The sequence below is a fragment of the Homo sapiens genome, chromosome 7 (genome assembly GCF_000001405.40).
Source record: "Homo sapiens chromosome 7, GRCh38.p14 Primary Assembly".
NCBI classification, from domain to species: domain Eukaryota; kingdom Metazoa; phylum Chordata; class Mammalia; order Primates; family Hominidae; genus Homo; species Homo sapiens.
In genome coordinates this window covers 75809644-75825454 of record NC_000007.14, presented here as the reverse complement: position 1 = coordinate 75825454, position 15811 = coordinate 75809644, and the positions used below count along the sequence as shown (strand labels likewise).

At 50.9% G+C, this 15811-nt stretch overlaps 1 protein-coding gene across 3 annotated transcripts, besides 1 other annotated feature; it reads left to right on the top strand.

Annotated features, from left to right (window-relative positions):
• Positions 1384-1884: an enhancer, noted in NCBI's record as "H3K4me1 hESC enhancer chr7:75452889-75453389 (GRCh37/hg19 assembly coordinates)". NCBI's record gives its function as "activates a minimal SCP1, AML or CMV promoter by ChIP-STARR-seq in primed H9 embryonic stem cells {active_cell/tissue: H9 hESC(primed)}" and the evidence as "EXISTENCE:reporter gene assay evidence [ECO:0000049][PMID:30033119]".
• CCL24 (C-C motif chemokine ligand 24) lies at positions 2083-14630 on the top strand. 3 transcript variants are annotated; one of them, XM_011516460.3, is made up of 6 exons: positions 2083-2133; positions 9186-9297; positions 10513-10633; positions 11681-11812; positions 12032-12149; positions 13491-14630. In XM_011516460.3, exons 4-6 carry the CDS (start codon positions 11740-11742, stop codon positions 13657-13659), a joined length of 360 nt encoding a protein of 119 aa, XP_011514762.1. In that variant the 5' UTR covers positions 2083-2133; positions 9186-9297; positions 10513-10633; positions 11681-11739; the 3' UTR covers positions 13660-14630. The 3 variants fall into 3 exon arrangements, with proteins under 3 accessions (XP_011514762.1, NP_001358122.1, NP_002982.2); NM_001371193.1 differs by lacking the exons at positions 9186-9297; positions 10513-10633; NM_002991.3 differs by lacking the exons at positions 2083-2133; positions 9186-9297; positions 10513-10633 and having other exon boundaries at positions 11649-11812.
• Positions 14631-15811: the final 1181 nt, after the last annotated feature.

Below are 15811 nucleotides of genomic sequence, written 5' to 3'. Positions count from 1 at the left end.
GTCTTCCCTTGGCCTGGAACCCCCTGCTTCCTTTTCCACCTGGGAACTCCTACCTGTCCTGTTCTGAAGCTTCTCAGATCCCCCACGCAGAGCCCTTTCAACCTGGTAGTTACCTGGCAATAGCAATGATTACCCCTTACTAACTGGTCCTTATCCATATTTACTGTAGGCTGGGAGCTGTGCCTGGACCATGAGGGACAGTCATTCAGTCACTCTTTGTGATACCCAGAGGAGGGACAAGGACTTGTCTCAATTTCCCAATGACAAAGCCAAGGCTGGGGTAGGGCCAGGATCGGAATCCAGGACTAATCGCCTCCAAAACGTATGTCCTCAACGAGTCTGATTCCTAAATCTTATGCTATATTGTAATTATTATTGTTATTCCTTTGAGACAGAGTCTCACTCTGTCTCCCAGGCTGGAGTACAGTGGCGTGATCATAGCTCACTGCAGCCTCGACCTCCTGGGCTTGAGTGATCCTCCCACCTCAGCCTCCTGAGTAGCTGGGACTACAGACATGTGTGCCTGCACCTGGTTATTTTTTATTTTTTTATTTTTATTTTTTAGATGGAGTCTCTTTCTGTCACCCAGGTTGGAGTGCAGTGGTGCGATCCCAGCTCACTGCAACCTCTGCCTCCCGCGTTCAAGCAATTATCCTGCCTCAGCCTCCTGAGTAGCTGAGATTACAGGTGCCCACCACTACACCCGGCTAATTTTTGTATTTTCATTAGAGATGGGGTTTCACCGTGTTGGCCAGGCTGGTCTCGTACTCTGGTTCACACTTGTAATCTCAGCACTTTGGGAGGCCAAGGCGGGCGGATCGCTTGGGGTCAGGAGTGCACCTGGCTAATTTTAAACATTTTTTGTAGAGACGTGGTCTTACCATGTTGCTCAGGCTGGCCTTGAACTTCTGGGCTCAAGTGACCCTCCCAAAGTGCTGAGATTACAGGCATGAACCACTATACTTGGGCTCTAATTATTTCTGTGTTGGTTTTTCCAGTGGACTCTGAGATCTTATAACATGAAGTCTGAAACACGTCCTTCACTGGATCCCAGAATGCCTTGGCCGAATGGAGCTCCCTCATCTGAGACTTCAATTTCCTACCTGGAGATCTGCCACAGGGTGCTTGCTTACCTCCCTTGGTGGGGCTCTCACTGTCATCCAAGGTGATCAGATCTGTCTCTGGACAGCTTTACCTGCTTCCTTCTCCTTAGGCCTTTAACATCTAAGAGGCAGCTGTGACACAGATGTACAAAAAGATCCTCTCAGCTGGGCATGGTGGCTCACACATGTAATCCCAGCACTTTGGGAGGCCAAGGCAGGTGGATCACCTGTGGTCGGGAGTTTTGAGATCACCCTGGCCAACATGGTGAAACCCCATCTCTAGTAAATATGCAAAAAATTAGCTGGGCATGATGGTGGGTGCCTGTAATCCCAGTTACTCAGGAGGCTGAGGCAGGAGAATCGCTTGAACCTGGGAGGCAGAGGTTGCAGTGAGCCGAGATTGCACCACTGCACTCCAGCCTGGGCAACAGAGCAAGACTCTGTCTCCCTTCCCTCTGCACCCACCCCCCACCAGAAAAAAAGAAAAAAAAGATCCTCTTGGCCTCTTTGATCTGCAGCATCCCCGTTTACCATCCATGCTAGGCTGGCTGGTTGGCAGTGCCCTGGGCTTCAGCTGCTATATGTGCCTCCTGTTCCCGTCCCTGTTGAGCTGTTGAAAGCCCTCCCATCTGGAGATGAAAGGGTAAGGCACTCCATAGCTGCCACCTGTTTTCCTCCCCAGCCCCGTCTGGGACCACACCCTTTCCAGGGCAGAAGTCTGTCCGTGTGGACAGAAGTCTGTCTGACAATGGGCTCACTGTGCTCTTCTGATGGGGACCACCACCCACCCTGCACATGGGCCCCCATCAGGGCCTGCCTGTTGCCACAAAGCCAACCTCTCAGAAGTCCTTGTAAACCTTGGACTCCTGAATTTCCCAGCCAAGCCAGGCGAGATGCAGGGGAGGCGCCCTTCCCTCCCCAGGTGCCCCTCCTCTCGTCCCATTCTTCCTGCCATCCCAGATCTGGTGAGTCAGAGGAAATCATTTCTGCTCTGCACTTGGCACCAAGGCTGTCACCCTGTTACCTCCGGGTAAGTGGCTCCCCTGTGCCCAGTATTCTGGGACTTTGTGTGTGTGTGTTTGGTATCGAGGAAGCAGGATATCCCAGGAAGCAGTGACACCCCCAGTCTGCATGCCTGAGTCTAGCCCCTTGCACTCCCCACCACAGTGCCCATTCATCCTGGCACCCCACTGCCCTCTCCCCCCTGCATCACACCCCAGATGTCTACCCGCTTCCTTTAGGAGGCTGGGACAAGAATGCAAGAAAGAATTGATGGAGGCTGTGCAAAGCTGGTGGCCGTGAGAGTCTAAAGTAAGGGGTGGATCGGAGAGCAGCTCGGAAAGTGAACTCGGTGTGGTGGCATTGGTGCCACTCAGCGGAGCATGCTGCCTGGCACCATGACAAGGGCATAGGTTCCTTCCCAGGAAGATGTAGGACGAGTTCTGCCCCATCGTGGCTTAGGAGTCTTGAGCAAGTCATTTAACTCTCTAAACCTCAGTTTTCTTTTCTTTTTTTTCTTTTTGGAGATTGAGTCTTGCTCTGTCACCCAGGCTGAAGTGCAGTGGCACAATCTCGGCTCACTGCAACCTCCGCCTCCTGGATTCAAGCAATTCTCATGCCTCAACCTCCTGAGTAGCTGGGATTACAGGCACCTGCCACCACGCCTGGCTAAATTTTGTATTTTTAGTAGAGATGGGTTTCACCATGTTGGCCAGGCTGGTCTCGAACTGACCCCTGGTGATCCACCGCCTAGGCCACCCAAAGTGCTGGGATCACAGGCGTGAGTCACCATGCCCAGCCTGAACCTCAGTTTCCTTACTGGTGACATGGGGACAATAAGAGGATAAGATGAGTTCAGAGGAGCCATGTAGGGCTTTAGGGGAACAGCTGAAGGGATGCTGGTCTGGTGGCGTTTCATGGAGTCCCTCACTGAAGCTTGAGGCCTACTCCCTCCACCATCCTGGGAGGTGCACAGTCACACACCCATCTTTTAGTAAATGAATTAAGCTTCACAGAGGCTAAACACCTTGCCTGGGCCACCAAGTGAGCATATGGTTGGGACGAGGCTCAAACCCAGGAGTGTCTACCTCTAGGGCCATGCCCTCCCCATGGTACTACACTGTGTCTTGAGCTGGGTGGGGCAGTTGAGGCTGTCTAATCTCCCTGGGCTTCCAGTTCCCAGCCACAAAGTGTCGGGACAGGTGAGACTCCAAAGGTTCTTCTTGTTCTGATTTTTTTTCTTTTTTTTTTGAGATGGAGTCTGGCTCTGTCACCCAGGCTAGAGTGCAATGGTGCGATCTTGGCTCACCGCAATCTCTGCCTCCCGGGTTTAAGCTATTCTCCTGCCTCAGCCTCCGGAGTAGCTGGGATTACAGGCTTGTGCCACCACACCTGGCTAATTTTGTTTTCTTTTTTTTTTTTTTTGAGACGGAGTCTCGCTCTGTCGCCCAGGCTGGAGTGCAGTGGCGGGATCTCGGCTCACTGCAAGCTCCGCCTCCCGGGTTCACGCCATTCTCCTGCCTCAGCCTCCCAAGTAGCTGGGACTACAGGCGCCCGCCACTACGCCCGGCTAATTTTTTGTATTTTTAGTAGAGACGGGGTTTCTCCATGTTGATCAGGCTGGTCTCAAACTCCTGACCTCAGGTGATCCACCCGCCTTGGCCTCCCAAAGTGTTGGGATTACAGCCTTGAGCCCCTCCCTTGTTCTGATAATTTATTGGACATCCAGACCTCTCCCTACCTGCCCTGCCTGCCTCGGGCATCTACCAGAACCCCTGGAAGCCCCACAGCCCCTGCAGACTGTTTTTATCCATGAATGGTCCCCCCAACACATGCACTCAAGTTTGAAACCCAAGTGTTATCCTAGACAATCCTTCCTTTTCCTCAACCATATGGCATCAGAGCTCAGCAAATGGAATCCTGAGTAATCCTCAAATCCATCCTCTTTTTTCCATCCTAACTTCCTCCACCTCTCCATCCTAGATTCCCTACCACAGGCTTCCCACCAGTTCTGCCACATGACTTACTGCAGCCAGAGTGATTTCTTTAAGGCTCCAACCTGGCCAAGTCACCCCTCTGCTTTGACTTCATCTCTGTGGCTTCCAGGGCTTGAAATACCCTTCTCTGCCCAGTTTCCTCCCTGTCAAGCCCAACTCCCCTTGGTCAGCCTAACTCAGCACAAGGGGCACCTCCTTCAGGAAGTTTTCTATGACTTCTGCTCTCCACTGTGGCCTCGGTAGACCTCCTCCATCTGGACACTTATCACCTGTGTCATAATTGCCTCTGTCTCTCAAGGCTAGTGTGAGAGTTCCCCAAGGCAACACCTGTATATAGTTTTTCTTGGTATGCCTGGGATGGGGCACCTGGTATATAGCAGGGTTCGATGAGGGATGGATGGATGGATGGATGGATGGATGGATGGATGGATGAATTGATGGATAGATGGATGGATTAATGAATGGATGGATGGATAGATGAGTGGATGGATAGATAGATGGGTGGAGGGATGGATGGATGGATGGATGGATGGATGGATTAGTGAATGGATGGATGGATAGATGAGTAGATGGGTGGGTGAATGGATGGATGGGTGGAGGGGTGGATGCATGGGTGGGTAGGTGGATGGGTGGATGGGTAGATGGATGAAGGGTGGATGGATGAATAAGTGGATGGATGGATGGATGATGGATAGATGGGTGGATGAGTGGGTAGATGGGTGGGTGGGTGGGTGGATGGATGGATGGATGGATGAGTGAGTAGATGAATTAATGGGTAGGTGGATGGATGGATACCTGAAACACCTCCCTTGGGGCTGAGTTCCTCTAGCTTAAGGGTCTGGTTCCTGCTAGATGGTGAAGACTTGCATGTGCACTGCCAGGCGAGGTGGCTCATGCCTGTTATCCCAGCACTTTGGGAGGCCAAGGCTGGCAGATCACCTGAGGCCAGGAGTTCGAGACCAGTCTGGCCAACATGGTGGAACCCCGCCTCCACTAAAAGTACAAAAAAATTAGCTGGGTGTGGTGGCGTGCGCCTGTAATCCCAGCTACTCGGGAGGCAGAGGCAGGAGAATTGCCTGAACCAGGGAGTTGGAGGTTGCAGTGAGCCGAGATTGTGCTGTTGCCTGGACGACAAAGCAAGATTCCATCTCAAAAAAAGAAGGAGAAGGAGAAGGAGAAGGAGAAGGAGAAGGAGAAGGAGAAGGAGGAGGAGGAGGAGGAGGAGAAGAAGAAGAAGAAGAAGAAGAAGGAAGAAGAAGAAGAAGAGGAAGAAGAAGAAGAAGAAGAAGAAGAAGAAGAAGAAGAAGAAGAAGAAGAAGAAGAAGAAGAAGAAGAAGTAGTTTACTAAAAGCCCTTACATCCGTAACTTTCTAGGATTCTAGAATCACATGAGATCATGGGTAAAAAGTGGCCTCATCCTCCCCGCCCCCACCATTTCATAGATGAGGAAATCAAAGCTTGGGAGGAGTGAGCAAGTTGCCCAGGCTCATACAGCCAGTTTTTAGCAGGTCAGGGACTAAAATATGTCACTACACCATAGCTGCCCATCTTGGGCCTATGGTTTGACCTAAAATTCAGTTCAGACCTTAGTAAGAAGACACAGGATTTTTTTTCTTTCTTTCTTTGTGTGTGTGTGTGGTCTACTTTTACCCTAATTAGGGCCATCAGATCCAGTGCCCCCTTTCTGGGACCCTTCCTCAGGTATTTAAAGTCATTTATCTTCAGAGATGACAGCCCCCTTCTTTTATTTATTTATTGAGAGATGGGGATATGTTATGTTACCCAGGCTAGTCTTGAACTCCTGGGTTCAAGCGATCCTCCTGCTTCAGTCTCCCAAATAGCTGGGACTACAGGCATGCACCCCAGTGTCTGGCTAATTTTTCGTTTATATTTTGTAGAGTTGAGGTTTCACTATGTTGCCTAGGCTGGTCTCGAACACCTGAGCTCAAGCAATCCTCCTGCCTCAGCCTCCCAAAGTACTGGGATTACAGATGTGAGCCACATCGCCCAGCCTATGAATATATATATATATATATATATATATATATATATTTTTTTTTTTTTTTTTTTTTTTTTTTTTTTTTTTTGAGACGGAGTTTCACTCTTGTTGCCCAGTCTGGCGTGCAATGGTGCGATCTCCACTTACCACAACCTCTGCCTCCCAGGTTCAAGAGATTCTTGTGCCTCAGCCTCCCGAGCAGCTGGGATTACAGTCATGTGCCACCACGCCCAGCTGGTTTTGTATTTTTAGTAGAGATGGGGTTTCTCTATGTTGGTCAGGCTGGTCCCAAACTCCCGACCTCAGGTGATCTGCCCACCTTGGCCTCCCAAAGTGCTGGGATTACAAGCGTGAGCCCTGGCCCTCATATTTCTTACCTTAGGGAAATCTTGTATTACTATAATATATATATATATAAAGTTCCTTAAAGTCCCTTATTAAAGAGGGTGACCATAACAAAACATTTAAATAAAATGAGAAATGTTCCTTCTTGTATCATGGCTGGTGGTCCTACACTTGGGGAGAGGCCGCTCTGGCCAACACGCTACTTCTCAGATGGAGAAACCGAGGCCAAGAGAGGGACAGGGTCTGTGCTGGAGCCATCAGGGGTTCTAAGAGCCTCACACTGCTGTGGGTCACCTCCCACCCACCCTCCAGCCTCCTCCACACATGCTGTTTCTGCCCCTGCCAGGTTCCCACTTCTACTGCTTCCCTCTTCCTCTTTCTAATTTTTTTTTTTTTTTTAAAGAGTCCGGGTCTTGCCATGTTGCCCAGGCTGGACTTGAACTCCTGGGCTCAAGCAATCCTCCCACCTCGGCCTCCCAAAGTGCTGGGATTACATGTGTGAGCCATTGCACCTGGCTCTTTCTCTTTTTACCTAACCACTCCCTTTCTTTTTTTTTTTTTTTTTGAGACGGAGTCTCACTCTGTCACCCAGGCTGGAGTGCAGTGGTGCGATCTCGGCTCACTGCAACCTCTGCCTCCCAGGTTCAAGCGATTCTCCTGCTTCAGCCTCCCGAGTAGCTGGGACTACAGGTGCGTGCCACCACGCCCAGCTAATTTTTGTATTTGTAGTAGAGATGGGCTCCCATTTCGGGAGCTAAGTGGCCCTGTGATGGTGTCTGCTCACTTATCCTTGCAAGGCATCAGCTCTTCCCTCGTAAAACAGGGTTGGTAATCCCTGCCTTAACAATTTCCCTGTATAGAGCATAAAGATTAGGAGTTTTGGTTGGGTGAGGTGGCTCATGCTGGTCATCCCAGCACTTTGGGAGGCCGAGGTGGGCGAATCACTTGAGATTAAGAGTTTGAGACTAGCCCAGCCAACATGGTGAAACCCCGCCTCCACTAAAAATATAAAAATTAGCCAGGCATGGTGGTGTGCATCTGTAATCCCAGCTACTCGGGAGGCTGAGGCAGGAGAATTGCTTGAACCTGGGGGGCGGAGGTTGTAGTGAGCCAAGATCATGCCACTGCACTCCAGCCTGGGTGACAAAGAGAGACTGTGTCTGAAAACAAAACAAACAACAACAACAGCAACAAAACATTGGGTGTTTTGGCCCAGTGCGGTGGCTCATGCCTGTAATCCCAGCACTTTGGGAGGCCGAGGTGGGTAAAACACTTGGGGTCAGGAGTTGGTGACCAGCCTGGCTGACATGGTGAAATCCCATCTTTACTAAAAAAACAAAAACTAGCTGGGTGTGGTGATGGGTGCCTATAATCCCAGCTACTCAGGAGGCTGAGGCATGAGAATTGCTTGAACCCGGGAGGTTGAGGCTCCAGTGAGCTGAGATCAGGCCATTCCACTGCAGCCTGGGTGACAAAGTGAAACTCTTCTCAAAAAAAAAAAAAAATTGGATATTTTGTGTTTTTTAAGGCCTTGGAAAAGCCCTTAATGGGTATTACTAATCTGGGGTGAAGCACCCCACCCCACACACTCCCACCCAATGACCTTCTGCTCGCCCACTCCTGTTGCAACATGGGGATGGCAGGCATCCCCGCCCTATTTACCCCAGCCTCACTCTTCTCCTGAGTGCTGCCTCTGTCTGACCATCCTTTCTCCCCCCAACTTCCTCCTCCCCACACACCACACTCCCGGCACCCACTGAGTGAGAAAATGCAGGCAGTCAACCGGCATCCCCTCTGAATCACTGGGGAGCAAAAATTAGAAGAGCTGTCATAAGACATCATGATGAGCTGGGCACAGTGGCTCATGCCTGTAATCCCAGCGCTTTGGGAGGTCGAGGTGGGAGGATTGCTTGAAGCCAGGAGTTGGAAACTAGCCTGGGCAACATAGGGGTACCCCATCTCTACTAAAAATTTAAAAAATTAGCTGGGCATGGTGGCGTGCACCTGTAGTCCCAGCTACTCAGGATGCTGAGGCAGGAGGATCGCCTGAGTCCAGGAGTTGGAAGCTGCAATGAGCTATGATCACACCACTGCACTCCAGCCTGGGCAACAGAGTGAGACCTTGTCTCAAATTTTTTTTTTTTTTTTTTGGCCAGGTGCAGTGGCTCACACCTGTAATCCCAGCACGTTGGGGGGCCGAGGTGGGTGGATTACCTGAGGTCAGGAGTTCAAGACCAGCCTGACCAACCTAGTGAAATCCCGTCTCTACTAAAAATACAACAATTAGCAAGACACGATGGTGGGTGCCTGTAATCTCAGCTACTGGGGAGGCTGAGGCGGGAGAATCGCTTGAACCTCGGAGGTGGAGGTTGCAGTGAGCCAAGATCGCGCCACTGCACTCCAGCCTGGGCGACAGAGAGAGACTCCGTATCAAAAATAATAAATAAATAAATAAATAAAATTTTAAAGAAAAAAACCTCTGCATGTATAAAGGGCCTTCCCATGACTTTTCTCACTTAATCCTCCCTAATTGCTCTGCCAGCAGAGGATAATTACTGTTGGCTGATGGGGAGGTGAAGGCAGACAGGGGCAGGTGCCAGGCTAATGAAGCCCTGAGTTGGGCTCTCAGCATTTTTCACTCTGTAAGCATAGGCAGTGAGATCAGGTGCTACCAGCCTCCCCGACTTCAGTCTTGCCTCCATCAGGGGACCCGCCTTGCTGACTTACCTTGTGTACACGCAGGCTCCAGTTGTGCTCTGTGGGCAAAACCCACACAGGAGTCCCTGGTCCAGAGGAAGTTGTTTCAGAGTTGATCCATCATCTATTCATTCTGCAAATGCTGGCCATGGCACAGGTGATTTGCTCGGCACTTGGCGGGTATATAAATTTATCTCAAGGCGTTCAGGTCAAGCATGAGACTGAGACGCAGACACCCAGCTGGCCACCAAGTGACGAGTACCACTGTGCTCCCACTATGCCACTGTGTGGGTCTTACATCGGTGTGTGCCCTGGAATCCCAGAGCAGGGAGGTTGGAGAAGGCAAATGGAGAGAACCGTAGGGAGGGGTTGGGTATGGGAGTGTTGGAGACAGCACAAATCTTTCTTATGGTTAGGCATAATTGAAGCCTGTCAGTAGCAATATGAACCTGTGATCAATTAAGCAGCTGACCAATTGTTACCTCCTCCTCCTTGTTCTTGTTACCCAATAATTACAAAGGGCTGTAGAGCCTCCGTGGCAGTCAGCCACATGGGAGTGGCAGGTGAAGGGAGTCTCTGATCATGAGGTCCTGACCTGGGATCCTGGAATCGGGGGTGGAGTGAGGTGGGAGCCATGTCCCACTCTGCCTCATAAAGTTGCCTCAGTCCCTTACAACTGAACTGGACGTTATGACTTACAGGCTTCCGCGTAGTTGCCAGTGCCTTCTGTCCTCCAACCTCAGTGCAGCTGTCAGCTATGAGTCCCTCCTGAACTTTCCTCCTGGCACAATTGGCCAGTTTTCCCGTGGTTTTTTTGTTTTCTTTTTATTTTTTTTTTAAAGACGGGGTTTTGCTATGTTGAGCAGGCTGGTCTTGAACTCCTGGGCTCAAATAATCCTCCCACCTTAGCCTCCCAAAGTGCTGGGATGACAGGCATGAGCCACCTCACCCAGCCTTTCTTTTTTTTTTTTTTTAAGAGACAGGATTATGCTCTGTCACCCAGGCTGGAGTTCAGTGGTGCTCACCTAGCTCACTGTAGCCTCAAACTCCTAGGCTCAAGTGATCCTGCCCCCTCAGCCTCCCAAGTAGCTAGGACTACAGGCGCATACCACCGTGCCTGGCTAATTTTTCTATTTCTTTTGGAGACAGGGTCTTGCTATGTTGCCCCTGCTGGTCTCAAACTCCTGGCCTCAGTCAATCCTCCCGCCTCAGCCTCCTAAAGCATTGGGATTACAGGCATGAGCCACCGCTCCCGGCCCCTGGTTTCTCCTATGTTTCCCTTCCTCCCACCCACCACCCCCATACCTTGTCCTGGGTCAGGGTCCCCAAAGCAGACCCTTGGCAGGGATTCATGGGCTTGTGGTTTATTAAGAGATGCTTCCACGAGAGACCATCGGGGGACTGGGAATCTGGTCGGCGCGGGAAGGGGCCAAGCAAAGTCCGGCTGCACAGAGAGTCACAGATTTGACCGAGTTGGAAACTCAGGAAACAGGGTAGGTCATGCTGGATCTGGAGTCGGCATCCCTCTGGCAGACATTGGCCACCTCAGAGGATGTGAATTTCCAGGCATTTCCCACTTCCCTAGAATCTTGGTGACTAAGTGGCTCCGGCAACTTGAGGGTACAGGCGATGGCTGTTGGGACTTCAAGGCCACCGAGAGCTGATGGAAAGCGGTCCTGACAGCATCTGCTTTGCTCTGTCAAGACTTGTCATGGACTGATTGATTGATTGGTTGATTGATTGATTTTAAGACAGGGTGTTGCTCTGTTGCCCAGCCTGGAGAGGCAGTGGTGTGATCACAGCTCACTGCAGCCTTGAACTCCTGGGTTCAAGTCATCCTTCCACCTCAGCCTCCCCAAGAGCTGAGACTACAAGCCTGCACCACCACGCCTGGCTAATTTTTTTATTTTTTATAGAGATAGGGTCTTGCTTTGTTGCCTAGGCTGGTCTCAAAGTCCTGGCCTCAAATGATCCTCCCACTTGAAACTTCCAAAGCACAGGGATTACAAGCATGAGCCCCCGTGCCCAGCTGACCTCTCATTGTCTGTTACACACACTTGATCACAAATCTGTCTCCCCATTAGAGTCCTCCCAGTGCCTGGCACAGACCACATGCCTAATAAATAATTGGGTGAATGAATGAATGAATGAATGGAAGGGAGAAGATAGGGATGACTCTGCCCATTTTCAGCTGAAGTAACTGAGGCTCAGGGAGGTGAGTGACTTATCCAGGATCCCACAGGGAGTGGCCAACACAGCCAGGATCCCATGGGCCTTCTGACAATGCATCCAACACCTTTGAACTTGGCCTAGGTGGGGTGATGTCCCCTCCCCCAGTTCTTTCGTTCGGAGCCCAAGATAACCCTTGACTCAGCTGGGCAACAACGGGACAACAACTTCCTCTTTCCAGACCACAGGCCTCAGGATTTTCAAGGAAGCGTGGAGGGGGCTCGGGGGCGTGTTTCCTTCTAGTTGCCCCATAAAGGGCAGAGGGAGGGAGTTTGGGGTACTCTGCAAGGACCCGAGCTATTTATCCCTAGGTCCTTTCCTCCTGCACGTCAGCTTTGAGCCCCGAGCTGGTGCTTCTGCTCTCTGAGACATGGCAGGCCTGATGACCATAGTAACCAGCCTTCTGTTCCTTGGTGTCTGTGCCCACCACATCATCCCTACGGGTAAGACCTCCGACAGGATGCAGTTCCAAGGGCATGGCTGGGATGGCACAGTGGGGGGTGCAGGACTGACCAGCCTGGGGCTGGAGGGAAGCGCTGGGGAAAGGGTGGCCCAGTGAATGGACTGGCGGTGTTTGGTGCAGGGTTCAAGCTCCAGCTCTGAGGCCCAGAGCCAAGGGGAGGCTGGGAAAAGACGTGGCTCTTCTCTCTCTCCTCTTCTAGGCTCTGTGGTCATCCCCTCTCCCTGCTGCATGTTCTTTGTTTCCAAGAGAATTCCTGAGAACCGAGTGGTCAGCTACCAGCTGTCCAGCAGGAGCACATGCCTCAAGGCAGGAGTGATGTAGGTATCCTTCATGGGCACGTGGCAGGAGAGGGGTGGGGGCAGGTGCAACTCCAGGGTCCCTGAGAAGCAAGGTCAGCCAGCCCCAGCTCTGTGCATCCCTGGAGAAGTCACCTCCCCTCTCTGGTCCTCAACTTCCTTGCCCATAAAACTAGGAGGAGGATATATTTATTTTTTTAATTTCATTTTTCTTTTTAGGAGATAGGGTCTTGCTCTGTCACCCAAGCTGGAGTGCAGTGGCACGATCATAGCTCATTGCATTGCAGCCTCAACCTCCTGGGCTCAAGTGATCCTCCCATCTCAGCCTCCCAAAGTGGTGCTAGGATTACGGCCATGAACCACCACACCCAGCCAGGAGGAGGATTTTTTTTTTTTCCCCTGAGACAGAGTCTCTATCACCCAAGCTGGAGTGCAGTGGTACGATCTTGGCTCACTGCAACCTCCGCCTCCCAGGTTCAAGCAATTCTCATGCCTCAGCCTCCCGAGTAGCTGGGATTACAGGTACGCACCACCATGCCCGGCTAATTTTTGTATTTTTAGGAGAGACAGGGTTTCACCATGTTGACCAGGCTGGTCTCGAACTTCTGACCTGAAGTGATCTGCCCATCTCAGCCTTCCAAAGTGCTGGGATTACAGGCGTGATCCACCAGGAGAAGGATTTAGATTCAATATCTACTGAGCACCAAATATATAACAAGTCACTATTCAGGGGCACAAGACAATATCTTATCTAATTCTCTCAACAATTCTATGGGGTAGCGATGATTGTTCCCATTTTACAGAGGACAGCTGAGGCTCAGGAAGGTAACTTGCTCAAGGTCACGTGGGCTGACATGTGTCTGTCCTCCAAATAGCTTCATAAGTAGTAACTGTGAACTCATTTTGTAAACAGAGGCATGAAATAGAAATACAATAAGAAGGCCACGTGCAGTGGCTTACATCTGCAATCTCAGTGCTTTGGGAGGCTGAGGCAGGAGGGTTGCTTAAGGCCAGGAGTTTAAGACCAGCCTAGGCAACATAGTGAGACTCCGTTTCTGCAAAAAAATAAAAAAAATTAGCTGGGCATGGTGGCATGTTCCTGTAGTCCCAGCTACTCAGGAGGCTAAGGCGGGAGGACAGCTTGAGCCTGGGAATTTGAGGCTGCAGTGAGTTATGATCGCCACTTTATTGCAGCCTGGACAACAGAGTGAGACCCTGTGTCAAAAAATGAAGATGACATCATCTCAGCAACTTGCAAGGAAGCCTTACTGTCTCTGGGCGTCCACATCCCCCCCGCCATGAAGTGGAGTGGCCCAAGGTCCCTGTCGACCTCAGCTGATCCCCTGTCCCTTTCTTCCACAGCTTCACCACCAAGAAGGGCCAGCAGTTCTGTGGCGACCCCAAGCAGGAGTGGGTCCAGAGGTACATGAAGAACCTGGACGCCAAGCAGAAGAAGGCTTCCCCTAGGGCCAGGGCAGTGGCTGTCAAGGGCCCTGTCCAGAGATATCCTGGCAACCAAACCACCTGCTAATCCCCGCCCAGCCCTCCAGCCCTGAGTTTGGGCCTGAGCTGCTTGGCGGGCTACTCGGGGCCTGGAGAAGCCACAGTGATGGGGGGAAGAGCTAATTTTCCTGTTTCTTAGCAACACTCTCCAGGGATGTGTCTCTTCTATGAAAAACCCGAGGGAGCAGGTGATGTGGTTCCCGGGGGCTGAGCAATGGCTCCAAGCATCCAAGGCCCCTTGCCTTTCTGGAGCTGGGTGAGAAGATCCCAGAAGGAGAGCAGTGGCAACTCTTTGCCTTCTCCTCCTGACCTGGTTCTGATGCTTTTTCTTTTTTTTTTTTTTCTGAGACGGAGTCTCGCTCTGTCACCCAGGCTGGAGTGCAGTGGCACAATCTCGGTTCACTGCAACCTCCGCCTCCTGGGTTCAAGTGATTCTCGTGCCTCAGCCTCCCGAGTACCTGGGACTACAGGTGTGTACCACCACACCCAACTAACTTTTGTATTTTTAGTAGAGATGAGGTTTCACCATGTTGGCCAGGCTGGTCTCAAACTCCTGGCCTCAAGTGATCTACCTGCCTCGGCCTCCCAAAGTGCTGGGATTACAGGCATGAGCCACCACACCCAGCCTACTCAAACTTTTATGTTGAAAAAAAAAAATCATAATTTTTTTTTTTTTAAAGGAAATGAACGTGGAGGACTGGGGTGAAGGGCCAGCCTGGGTAGTTTAATCTTTTTGGGAAGACATGACTTTAAGGAGATTCCCTGCTTTGTGACAGGTTGCTCCATGCTGTCTTGGGGACAAGGGCCTGTACTGCCTTCAAATCTGGGCTCACCCCACATTTTGGTGAGGGGAAGATAGGGTGGGGGGATTAGGGGGAGAAAAGACTCTAGCTTTTTTTTTCTATGCATGATATACTGTGTGGGTTTATCAAGAGTGTAGACACAGTTGCTGTTCTCAAATAATAGGCCAAATAAAATGCGATTCTTTTTTTCTTTGAAGGTTGTTGTGTCTTGTGTGTTCTTTTTTTTTTTTTCTTTTCGTTTTGAAATGGAGTCTCGCTCTTGTCGCCCCAGGCTGGAGTGCAATGGGACGATCTCAGCTCACTGCAACCTCTGCCTCCCAGGTTCAAGCAATTCTTCTGCCTCAGCCTCCTGAACAGCTGGGGCTACAGGTATCTGCCATCATGCCCTGCTAATTTTTTTATATTTTTAGTAGACACAGAGTTTCACCGTGTTGGTCAGCCTGGTCTCAAACTCCTGACCTCAGGTGATCCACCCGCCTCAGCCTCCCAAAGTGCCGGGATTCCAGGTGTGAGCCACTGCGCCCGGCATTTTGTGTTTTTGACTCTCCTGGAGGGGGTAGGGTTGGGCTGTGACCAATGGTGTACGTGCCCCAGAAAGCATCCCAGGCTGCCTCTCCAAGGTTGGAGGGGAAGAAGACAGCCGGAGCCCAAAGCATCTGGGAGTGACCTTGCCCTGCCGCTGGGAGTCCTGTTATTGACTTTGAAAAACACACATGCACAGCTAGGTTCAATTAAATAATTTAAAAAATTTTTGAGACAGGGTATCACTCTGTTGCCCAGACTGGAGTACAGTGGTACAATCATAGCTCACTGCAGCCACGAAATTCTGGGCTCAAGCAATCCTCCCACCTCAGCTTCTCTAAGTAGCTGGGACTACAGGTGTGCACCACCACACCCGGCTAATCTTTTCATTTTTTGTAGAGATGAGATCTTGCTTTGTTGTCCAGGCTGGTCTAGAACTCCTGGCCTCAAGCAGTTCTCCCACCTCGGCTTCCCAAAACACCAGAATTAAAGATGTGAGCCATTGCACCAGGCCCCAAACAAAAATTTTTTTTTTTTGAGATGGAGTTTCTTTCTTGTTGCCCAGGCTGGAGTACAATGGCATGATCTCGGCTCACTGCAACTTCCACCTCCCGGATTCAAGCGATTCTACTGTCTTGGCCTCCCAAGTAGCTGGGATTAAGGCACACACCACCACGCCTGGCTAATTTTGTATTTTTAGTAGAGATGGGGTTTCACCATGGTGGTCAGGCTGGTCTCGAACGCCTGACCTCAAGTGATCCACCTGCCTCAGCCTCCCAAAGTGCTGGAATTACAAGGATTACAGGCATGAGCCACTCTGCCTGGCCCCAAATTTTTAAAATATTTCAACAAACA